The sequence below is a fragment of the Homo sapiens genome, chromosome 10 (assembly GCF_000001405.40).
Source record: "Homo sapiens chromosome 10, GRCh38.p14 Primary Assembly".
Classification (NCBI taxonomy): domain Eukaryota; kingdom Metazoa; phylum Chordata; class Mammalia; order Primates; family Hominidae; genus Homo; species Homo sapiens.
The window spans coordinates 106,599,649-106,611,716 of record NC_000010.11 but is presented as its reverse complement, the minus strand read 5'-3'; the positions used below and the strand labels follow the sequence as shown (position 1 = coordinate 106,611,716).

The 12,068-nt window shown below is 42.1% G+C and overlaps 1 protein-coding gene across 17 annotated transcripts in view; it reads left to right on the top strand.

Annotated features, from left to right (window-relative positions):
- SORCS1 (sortilin related VPS10 domain containing receptor 1) overlaps positions 1-12,068 on the top strand; it is a 607,476-nt gene that overhangs the window by 569,422 nt on the left and 25,986 nt on the right. For 12 of the 17 annotated variants that reach the window (XM_017015617.1, NM_001206570.2, NM_052918.5 and 9 more), the window contains one exon: positions 4,420-4,551. The exons of the other annotated variants lie outside the window; for them this stretch is intronic. In XM_017015617.1, the coding sequence (XP_016871106.1) occupies positions 4,420-4,551 (132 nt within the window). The remainder of the gene's footprint in view (positions 1-4,419; positions 4,552-12,068) is intronic. 17 annotated transcript variants of the gene reach the window in all.

The following is a 12,068-nucleotide window of genomic DNA, read 5'->3' as shown; positions in this document are numbered from 1 at the left end:
GGATGCAACTATGGAACCACGGACAAACATGGGGTCCTTGCCTCTTGTGACTCTTGTTCTGCTTAGAGAAGGAGGACAAGTACATCCTAAACTCCTTTGTCCACATTTCTGTAGCAGAGTTCACAATTAGGCCATTAGGAATTATAAAACCAGCTACTGTACCTGCCAGTGAAGGAACTCAGCATGTAAGTGTCCTCGGCTGACTACAATTAGTAAGAGTGGTCCCAGGTTCCAACTTCCGCAACTGTGAGCATAACAGTGCAGTGAGCATTCAGTATATGATGGTTAGTCATATTTCTATTTCCTCATTTTTTTAAAGAAATTTCTGTACTGTAACAGCCCCAAAAAGGAATTATTATCCACACTTTGTAGATGAGGCAACTGAAGTTTAGAGAGGTTAAGTAACTTGCCTAAACTCTCATATCTAATAGAGGATGGAGCTGCAAAATTGAAATTAAGGGCCTGAGTCCAATGTCTGGGCTTTTGTGTATTTGACAAAGCTTCCTAAGGTTTCTCAGAGAATAACAAGGTGGTTGTGTTTTATCCTTCCCTGAGCAAATGTCACTGGCAATTAGAGAAGACACCTTCTTTTAGGCACATCTTCCCCTCCTTGTTCTACTTTTTTTTTTTCTTTTATGAGATATAGTCTCACTCTGTCACCCAGGCTGGAGTGCAGTGACTCAATCTCATCTCACTGCTACCTCTGCCTTCCGGGTTCAAGCGATTCTCCCACCTTAGCCTCCCAAGTAGCTGGGATTACAGGTGCTTGCCACCACGCCCAGCTATTTTTTTCGTATTTTAAGTAGAGACGGGTGTCACCATGTTGGCCAGGCTGGTCTCGAACTCCTGACCTCAAGTGATTCAACTGCCCCGGCCTCCCAAAGTGTTGGGATTACAGGCGTGAGCCACTGCGTCGGCCCCTTATTCTACTTTCATGAGTGAGCAGAGGAGTGGGATAGCCGCTCATGGGGCAGCTTGAGCTTATTGTGCAAACGCGGAAAATCAGAAGTGAGTTATCCACTCCCAGGGCATATTCTTAGCTCAGAATGAAAATCAGTTTAGGTTTGCTGAACATTCTTTCCTGCTTCCAACACATGGTGCCACAGGACACAAAAAGATGATGAAATAAAGGCATTCAGATAACTCCTGATCAGAAAACAGATCTTACATCCAGCCTCTTGCAAGGAGCTGGTCTTCCCTGTCTTCATTACCTTTGTTAATATTTGGTTAGCACTTAAAATATTCTAGATACTCTTTTGAGTGCTTTGCATTATTTTAACACATTTAATCCCCCAAATAAGCTTACGATGTTGAAACCGTGATTTCAGAACTACCCATTCTGTAGGTGAAGAAATGAAACTCAGAGATATTAGGTTACTCATCCAAGGTCATGCACTTAAAGATCAGATTCTGGAGTCAAACCATCAAGGTTTGAATCTTGATTTTTGTGGTTTCCTAACCACTCCACTCTAGGGCCATCCTCTTCCTTATTCCAAGGAGAAACAGGGATAGATGGAATACTGGGGTAAAGAAGGGGTATCTTCATGTGCCTCTGAGCAATGCCACCCACCTCTGTCTCTATGGCTTTCAGCATCTGTGACATGATTGGTGGTTACACATTATCACCACCAGGAGGCACGACTACCAGACTACAACCCTAAAAGGAATAGGCCTTTCTACTCTGAGCCATCCGTCTCTAGGGTAACAACTGGTTTTTGTCCTCTGCTGTCCAAGAAGGATGACTTATGCTCTTTAACGAACCCACTGTCCATCTCTTCTCATCTGCAGCATTCTAGGGACCTGTGTCCCCATAGGTCCTCTATCTGTCCAACTCCCCCAGGTGATGTATCAACCAAGCACTAGCTCAGCAATGTCCAGCCTTCCAGGCTGATTTCTCTTCACACTTATTACTTAGAGATCAGATGCCCTGTACCTCCACCTTTCTACCAGCTGTCCATTAGGCTAGAAATTACTGCTCATCAGGATTTCTAGCCTGCTGTGTAGCATAATCAGGAATATGCAGAATAAACAGATTGACTCATTATCCCTCAGGGCAGGGTTATAGCAGTGGTGGTGGTGGTATTAATACCTTCTAGTTTTCAAGGCTCCCTAGTCACCCAATCCCAAGAAGCAGTTGATGCAGAGCTTGGTTCCTAGCAATTTGCACTGACTTTGAGATCAGTAATTGCACTTGGCCACTTTTTTAAGTCCCAAGGGACCACATTGGCAAGTGTACACTAATAAACCCTATGAGAGGTACAACTGAGAGTCAGCTTATTTGCAGTTTTCTTGCTATTCATTATGAAACAAAATTTAGTATTAAATTGTTTGCCTTTTCTTCCTCAAAATGGCTTTTGCTATTGACATTTCACAATGAAATCTTTAATTGAATGTCATTATAAACATTTTTGTGTACAATGAAGATTATTCAGGCACAATCTCTGAGTTTACAGTCTAGTAAGGGCATAAAACAGTGTGGGGTTTGCTGTAATAGGAGCTGTTGTTTGTCAGTGTCTGGAGAAGGGAGGTACAGAGCACTGGGTCCCAACACAGACTTCACAGTCAGACCAGGCTTCAAAAGCATCAGCAGTCACTTCCTAGATGGCCTTGAGCCACTGTCTAATCTTCCTACAGCCACCATCTTTCCTGGAGTGGAAATTGAGATGCACCACCCAGATCTCTGTTCAGGGAGACACTTATTGTCTTTTCTGGGAGGGCTATGGGCAGAGTCTTCACCAGCTGGGTTCCAAGTCGTGTCACTTCTTAGGGTGGCTCATGTCTGATGACAGGCTGGTGCAGTTATGTAAAGTCCTGGCCATCTCAGCCCAATTTAAGACAACTCTGAAGGGCCATTCTGTCTCCCCTCGGGGTCTCTTGAAGTTGTCATGGGCCTACATGGCAGCTCAAGTTTTCCCTTGTCCATGTTTGTTTCCTTCCCTTTGCTCCCATAGGTGTTGTTCCCAAGAGCACTTCTTAGTAAACATCCTGCATGCTAAACTCAGAGTCAGCTTCCTGAGGACCCCAGCATATGATATGTTCTCACTGCAGAGTGAGGTGTAATCATATTTGCTTCAAAGGGTTGTTGTTGGAGGTTGCCTAAAATAATATTATAAGTTACTTATAATAGTAACGTTGTTGGAGGTCACATCAAATAATATAAGTTACTTAGCACAATACACCCAGGAAGTACCTGGGATTGTGCTAAGTAACTTATAACATTAGGTGAGGACCTAATACCTGGAATTTCTTGCTACTTCAAAAAAAAATGCAGCACAGTGGAGTTCAAAAACAAATAATCACCTAATTGGGAAATAATGAAATAAATAAGCTTTAAGATGACTCATGAAGGATAAATAGCAAAGGCAGAGAAAAGACATTCTGGTGGAGATAACATGCACAGGAACATTTGCAGGAAAAAGCTGAAATATTGAGAAATTGTACATCATCCCATTTGGCAAAAGCGTAAGAGTTGTGGGTAATTAGTTTGGAAAGGAAGCATGGGACCATATTGCAGAAGGCCTTGAATATGTCCTTAATCCTGTTAGCATTGGGAATTCTTGCAAGCATTTTGGACAAGGAACATGATCAGAATTGGACTGCTGGAGAGAGAAGCTGGGATTATAGCTATTGATTCTAGAAGCATCTAGAGAGAGGATTCAGGGGAAACCCTGGGGTATAAGCTCAAGAGAGAGAACAGTGAGCTAGGATAAACAAGAAGTCCTTGAGTGATATCTGTAATTTTAACAGAAGAGTCAGTGTGGCCAAGTGGAGGGCTCAGGGTGCTTCAGGGAACAGGGCTGGTCATCAGGTCTGATGCTGCAGAAAAGTCAACAGGGGCCTCCTGAGGGTTGTGATATGGGGATGTCCTCTTAGGTTAGGTGGTTAGGATGTGGTGGGTCTATTTGAAGAGTAACTCCAGTGGGCTGACGAAGGAGGAAGCTAGGTTAGAAAGGGCTAAGGCATGAGGGGCAGATGATAAAGTGAAGGTCTTCTCACTGGCATGGTCACCACCTTGGAGATGCTCTCTAGCAAAAAGAGCTAACATTTGAATCCCCAGGCCCTACTGTAAATACTTCATGTGTAACTCATTTAATCCTCAAAATCAGCCATGAACAAGGCAAGTACTGCAACTGTCCTGTCTTCTATTTAAAGGAATGTAGGCATAGAGAACACAAGCAATGAGCTTAAGGTCTCACGGTGTTGAAGCTGGGATTAAATCACAGACAGCCTGACTCCGGAGCCTGGACCTAATAGCCCAGTGCTGTCTCTCACATACTCCCTGCCTGATATGCCCAGGCCTCTGCTTTCAGGCCCCTTGTGGTGTCTTCTGCCTACCCCTGATCCCCCCACCAAATACTTGGTCCCTTCTCAGCTTTCTTCTCTGCAGCACTAATGTGAGCCCCTGTGTCTGTCCCTCAGGCCACAGGGGTTCCAGGCCAGCACATCCTGGTGGCGGTGCTCCCTGGCTTACCCACCACTGCTGAACTCTTTGTCCTACCCTATCAGGATCCAGCTGGAGAAAACAAAAGGTCAACTGATGACCTGGAGCAGGTGAGTCCCCTGGAAAAGGAGACGTTTTCAGCTTCAACCGTTTGTGGAGTCTTCAACTTTCTAAGCCTCCATTTCTGACCCATAAACTGGTGATCCTAACTACAGCTTCACCAAAAGCACATGCAAGAGCATTCATGGTAGGTGTATTAGTCTGTTCTCACACTGCTAATAAAGACATACCCAAGACTGGGTAATTTATAAAGGGGGTTTAATTGACTTACAGTTCAGCATGGCTAGGGAGGCCTCAGGAAACTTACAATCATGGCGGAAGGGGAAGCAAACCTGTCCTTCTTCACATGGTGGCAGCAAGGAGAAGTGTAGAGTGAAGCAGGGAAAGCCCCATATAAAACCATCAGATCTTGTGAGAACTCACTATCGTGGGAACAACATGGAGGTAACTGCCCCCATGATTCAGTTACCTCCCACTGGGTCCTTCCCATGGCAAGTGGGGATTATGGGAACTGCAGTTCAAAATGAGATTTGGGTGGGAGCACAGCCAAACCATATCAGCAGGGAACGGCTAAATTATTTACAGTGTGGAATACTCTGTGGAGTTTACAATGAATTAGATTAATCTATGTATACCAACACAAAAAATTGTCCGTGATATCAAGTGGAAAAAAAAGCAAGTTGCTGAACAATATCATACTTGTCACAAGAATGCCGTGAGAAGCAAATGACATGACATGCATATCTTTTTTAACAGGTTCAACTTTTATACAAATGACTAATCCTTTGATGATCTAATTTGTGTTTGTAATGAGTAACATTAGCTCCCGAGCAACTCTACTGCCCTGTGGGGTTCACCTCCTCCTCATCTCCACTACCTTCTGGAGCATTTGAGTGTGTGTGTGTGTGTGTGTGTGTGTGTGTGTGTGTGTGTGTGTGTGTATATCTGTGTGTGTATTTGTGTGATTCTCTTTCTCTTTTCCCCTTTAGTCTTCTTTTTTCTTCCCTTTCCTCCTTTTAACTTTAAAAGACTCTCCTGTCTCTGTAGTGGGGATAATTATGTTGTTGTTATCCTTCTTTGTCCATTCAGTTAAAATGATCAGCCTTGGCCTAGTTGCACTTTTAGAAACGAAATGATTTTGATTTATCAGTTCTTCCAGGTAAATAGATTAAAAATAAGATTCCTCTCGGCCACTAAGTAAATATTGGCTGTTTCCCTTCCAGTACTTGGAGATTTTCTGTTTACTAAACCCATAATCTAGCCCCATGATCTTTAGTCTTCCAGGATGACTTGAGAAACTTCTATAATAGTCTTATTAAAAACAACCCCAAATTATGGCATGGCCCACCTCCTAGCACACACCTTCTTTTCAGCTGCCACTTTTTCACTTGGCAGAAGGCTCCCCTGTATAATTTTCTCTGTGTGCAAGTAATGAAGAGCAGAGCTCTCATGGAAAGCCCTGTTGAACCCCATTTCCTAGTGAAGTGGAGGTGAAGGGTGGGCAGCAGGTAACTCCTCAGATTTGCATCTAACCTCACTCCCCACCTCAGCTTCCCATCATACTCTACAAATTATTATCTGCACTGCATTTTGGTGGGAGAAAGAATAGATTATTTCTTATCACAACATTGTCAAGAACCCAGAGGGAAAGCAGATCCCTATCCAAAGCCTTTAGATAGGAACATTTGCAGTTGTACCTCCTCTAAATCTTACTGGTTTTTCATGAAATCCAGATTTTAATCTTTTCAAGTATGGAAGAGGGTACAGATTTAGAGTCACCTTTTTTTCCTAGTTACCACATCATCTGTGCACTTTTATTTCTCACACTTTCCATGTTTTTTTCTAAAAGTGTTGTATTTTCTACATCATTATTTGAGGGGAAATTTGGAAAGAAGAGGGGTCCATTCTGTGAAACTTCTTATACTTATGTATGGATGTGTCTTGCTTTGACTGTCTGCTTTCTCTAGACTTCTTGTTTCCCTTCATTCTCTGTCTCTTCTGGGTGTTTCCTGCAAAGGCATTCTCAGAGAGCTGAGTGTGGCCCTCAAGGCAGACTGTATCAGTCATTGGTGAACCATGTCATCAGAGATCTGAAACTAACTAGCTTGCTTGAAGGCTGTGTGACTTAGAATTGGCACACATGTAGAAGAGTCTGTCTATTTTGTTAGAACACAGGTTTACGTAAATATCAACCAGTTTCTAGTTTCACCTCTGATATTTATTATGTCCATTTTACCGATGAGGAAAGTGAGGACAAGAAAAGTTGAATAATTGAGCCAAAGTCACACTTATCTCATGGGGTGTCTGGGAGGATTAAAGAAATGATATAGCAAAGTACTTGGCCTTGAGTAAAATGTTCACTGGAGATATAGAGATAATGGTTACATTCATGTTCATTATATGGTAAGAAGAGATGTGGAAAATGAAAAAAATGAGTTTAGGCCTATTAAATAGACTGGTATAGTCAAGGGCATGTATTGGAAGAGAGGATGATGGGAATAAGGGAAAAAACATTAATGAATGCAGTTACTCAAAATGGAGAAAAACAAGGACAATAAGGAAGGAATGTATCTGAATGGCATGAGCTCATGCGAGTTATGCAGATTTATAGCATGAAAAGAAAGTAAGGTACCAAGCTAGAGACTGTAAATTTGTTTAAGGAAAATGCCAGTGTATCAGCCTATTCCAGGACTCAAAGCAAAGTAGACACAGTGACTTTACAAATGCCAAACAGAGCACATCAGAAATTAGTGTCTTAGTTGTGGAGAACATTATTACCCTGATGGAAAAATGCACCTGAAATCAACTTATTAAACCAAGGTGCATGTCTAGACCCTGTGAGACAGGGGAGTCTCCTGGAGACCCATAGTTTTCAATCCAGGAGGGGTCCTTTCATTCTCTGCTCTGACTTAATCACTTAACTTTATGGGTAAAAATAAAGGGAGTTTTTGAATTAATTTAATTGAGAAGTCCAGAGGTACAGTTGAGGCATAGATGAATTCAGAACCACTCAAAAGTATCACCAAATTACTTCCCTCTCTTCCTCTCTCTCCGTCTGTTTTCCTGGCTACCATATGGGAAGTTGGCCTGAGAATGAAGCCAACACATAGGAAAGCAAGAATGGCCACAGGCATCCCCAACTTCTATTTAGCCAGTTTATCAACCCAATCCAAAGACGGTACCTCTCACCTGATTGCACCAGCGAGAGTTGCAGGTTCACAGTTTTCACTTGTCTGACCTGTTTAAAGTGGTCATCTCTTAGCTAGTCCCTGCAGTCTTGGGGATAATGTGCTGTCAGTGACAACTGAGACGTTTTATACCCTCCCTGAACCAAATGGACCAAGACTAGACAAGGACATGGATTCCTCAAAGAACAATGTGGGGAAGGGAGAGGGAATGCTGGGAGGCAAACGCAACTGACTTCTGGTATCATAAATTATACAGAAATTTAAGACAAATGCAAAGCAAACCCAAAGAACAGAAATGAACCCCCTCCTTTGAAGGCTGTACTCTAAATCTCAGCGGAAACTTGAGAAGGGCTGTCCTTATCCCCTCATTTCACGCCTTGGCCCCCTTTCTTGTAAAGGTGCAGTACAGATCCCCCTGCAGTGAAAGAACTGGGATCCTAGACAGAGGTGCCCTAAAGAATGGGAGGGCAGGGCCCCAGCAAAGGACTCTCAGTCCTCCTTCCTTAGCTTCCTCTGAGAGCCTTCCTGGGGAGCAGCGATGCTGGCTTGGATCGAGCTATCTTGTCTGTGAAATAAATTGAAAATTCTTCACAGTGAGAAGTACTTGACCCTGTTATCAGGATGAGGCGGGCTGGGTTAATCGAGTGACCTCTGTCTGGGAGGGTTCCACCAGCCTTTATTTGGGATCTCTGGTGAGTGAGAAAAGGCTCTTGTGCCCTGAGCTGGCCTCATCAAGGGGAGCGCGTGCTGCTGTCCTGAGGCCAGCTGCTTAGATGTGGAGCAAGCCCTGCCCCTCAAGCATCCCACTTCCTTGCTCCCCTCGGAGTCCTCAGGGGTGAATAAATTTGTTTCTGTCTCTCCTGTAGGGAGGAAAGACCGCCATGCTCTATCGTGATTGTTTGTGATGCTGTGCTGGGGAGATAAGGAGCCTAGGTGTGTTGTCTTTCAGGATCCTTAAAGGACATTAGAACATCTAAAAAGAACAAAAAAGATGTGAAAAAAATGTCAACCACAAAAATATATATATTTCTTCCTTGGCTGTTTTTATTACTCTACACGGTTGGCAGATGCAGAGCCTGAAACCTAAGGAAGAAAGGAAAGGCAGATCTCGATAGGGAGCAGGGTGACAGTTTTAAGAAAATAGAAATTTATTATGAAATGGAATTAATAATCTCTATTTTCTGTATATCCACACATTTTGCTTATCAGTCCAGATCTTTTTAACTTGGGGAGTCAAATTACAAAAATACTCTGGAGTTTACAAGGAAGGTCACTGAAGTAGGAGAACTATAACCAAAAGTGGAGGAGGTAAGAGGTGGACCAGAGCAAATGTGTCAGGAGGAGGTAGAGAGAAGCTTAAAGTGGGTGATGGGAAATCCAAAGGAAACACATATTTATGACGGATTTGTGTCTTCATGAACCATTATCCAGGAGACCCCTTAGGCACTTTAATCAGGCTAAATTTGTGTGTGTGTTTGTGTGTGTGTGTGTGTGTGTGTGTGTGTGTGTGTGTGTTATGAAGGAATGAAATTGAGCTACTGTTAATTAGAATTTAGTATTTGGCTCCATTGCTTCCCTGTCATTCAATGCAAAAAATGTATGAATTGGGAAAGATCTTCCTCTGTTTAACACAAAAGGAATATTCCTCAACTGCTACTTGAAGAGACTTTAATAGTGTGGCAGAATCAAGACTGACCAACTGAGCCAGCTCCCAGGTCATCCCAGGCAACACCCTCTTTAAACATGGCACTAGAATGCTATTAAGTTCAGTAAGATTTGCATTCATCCTACCACCTTCAGAATAAATATTCGTATTTTAGCCCAGTGTAGCTTTGCCATTAATACATTTGTCTAAGCCCATTTGCATCTGCATTTTTACCTTGTACCACTTATTTGGGTTATGTGTTCTATGAATTTATAAACTACTCTACTGTCCTTAAAACTTTTATTTTTTCATGTTTCAAGAATTGCCACTTTACTTCTGATCATCTGATAGTGTTTCCCCCTCTTGATTTCATTAGAAATTGTTTGGATGTTGAATGTGTTCTTTGTGTGGTAACCATCACTGTGTGACTAAATATTTCCAGCCCACTGCTTTCAGGGTACATGATAGGACTGTACCATGAGTCTATTCTGCTGGGGCAGAGCCTCAGGACTGTGGGAGCAGAAGTGATATGTGCCACTTCCAAGCTAAAGTATTCAAATGCACATTGTAGAATTTTGCTAGCTCCTTTTCCCTCTTGTGCTGTATGTAATGAATGGAAATGCTTGTGATGGCCGCTCCACCAGCCAGTGTCCCTGTGTGACCACAGGGAGCCCAACACCACTGCATAGCTGCCATGGATATGACATGTGAGCAAAAAATTGACCTTTCTTGATTGAAGGCCCTGCCCACAGCCATATCTAGTTGATTCTGAGTGCTGCATTCAATCTTCCTCTTGTGTGAAGAAGACAATGAGGAACATTGGTGTTTTCCCTGTCACAGGTCCCTCCCAAGACATCCTTTTGATGATAGCTTTCCTAAAATTCGAATTGAGCCTCCACTGTCCTTTTAAGTGGGACTTTAAATGAAATGTAGGTTGCACTTGAATAATAGGCATATTCCACCAAATAGGCAGATACCAAGAATAATGTGTTGTTTCTATGGCGTGATTGTTTAGCTGATGTGGAATAGAAAATGGACTGTGCTGGAAAGCAGCAGAAGAGGGATGACTGTATACAGGATAAATGAAATTTGTTAAGACAACACGCTTTTCACCAGACAGAAAAAGAAAAAGAAATAAATTCAATTTGCTTTAGCAGGTTCAGTCTCCCTCCTAGAAATCACACAGTATTTCACTTGAGTCTCTATCAGGCAAGTGTTTTTCTTCTCATTTAGGCTGTTGCCATACTTTCCAGTAGAATGCAGTTTATTCTACTCCTTTCTATAGCCGAAGACTCTCCCAAACATTACCCAATTATGCAACTGGTGAACAGAAAGTGGCCCCTCTGAGGATGGTGTTAGGAAATCCCCACTCCTGTAGCCCATATTGGTCACTGGGCATTGGGGCTGATGTTTTAACTTCGGGTGCTTCACAGATGAATGAGAGAAGGCAGCATAATTAATATAAGTGCTGTATTTTCTCATCTTATAAACCTATCCTGCCAGACGTCTCTCCAACTCTCTTCTGCTGTCTCTCTCTTTGTCAGCTTGTTCAAGGAAAATATTTTTAATGGAGATACCCTAGGATTAGGAGTCAAACAAAGCCAAAGTCTAGTCTCAACTCTTCAAATATTAACTGAATAAACTTTGGTATTTCCTTTAAGCTCCATGTTCCTTTCCATGAAGATGCCAGCACTGACACCTAAGATGTGTTCTGCTAGAAAAGATAGTAAGAAGCAAGCAACTTTACCAAAATAGTGTTCACAGCATATATAATGTCCTTTAGAATATATGTAACAACTTGTAATCTTTTGAAAAAATACAGGATAAACACTTCTACAAGTGGTGTGGAAAACATCTAAAATATTGTCAAAATCTGTCAACAGTTTCATACTCATTTCAGTAGAAAAGCACATGGTTCTAATTGAGATTATTCTTATATGCAATGTAAATTTTATTTAGTTTTGTTTTCTTATGCAAATTTTTTCTCACAAAGCATGTGTTCATTGTTGAATGTCCTTTGATGCAAGTTAAATATATGAAACGTACTTTCTGTTACCAGATAATTTTTAAATTTAAATTTCCTTCTTAAAATTTTGTAAGTGACACAGATAGAGCCAATGAAACAATGTTGTAAACCAAAACAAAACCAAGTAGTTAATTATTTTCACAAGGGTCTCTCCTGGAGATTATAAATTAAAAATATGTTATTTTGATAAACTCCATTTTCTGGTTTAGCTATTGGTATATCTCACTTGAAGAGAAAACATTCTCAGTGATAAGAAACAAATATTGCGGCCAGGCACAGTGGCTCACACCTGTAATTCCAGCACTTTGGGAGGCTGAGGCGGGTGGATCACTTGTGGTCAGGAGTTCGAGACCAGCCTGGCCAACATGGTGAAACACTGTCTCTGCTAAAAATACAAAACAAACAAACAAACAACAAAATAGCCGGATGTGGTGGCAGGCGCCTGTAATCCCAGCTACTCAGGAGGTTGAGGCAGGAGAATCACTTGAATCAGGGAGGCGGAGGTTGCAGTGAGCCGAGATCGCGCCATTGCACTCCAGCCTGGGCGACAAGAGCAAGACTCCAACTCTGTCTCAAAAAAAAAAAAAGAAAGAAAGAAAGAAAGAAATATGGCTTCACCTGGTTGAAAGTGGGGAGTCTTTCTCCCACAAATACATGTAGTTCCCTTTAGTCCATGTGATAAATTTGGCAAAACAGGCTAATTCCCTC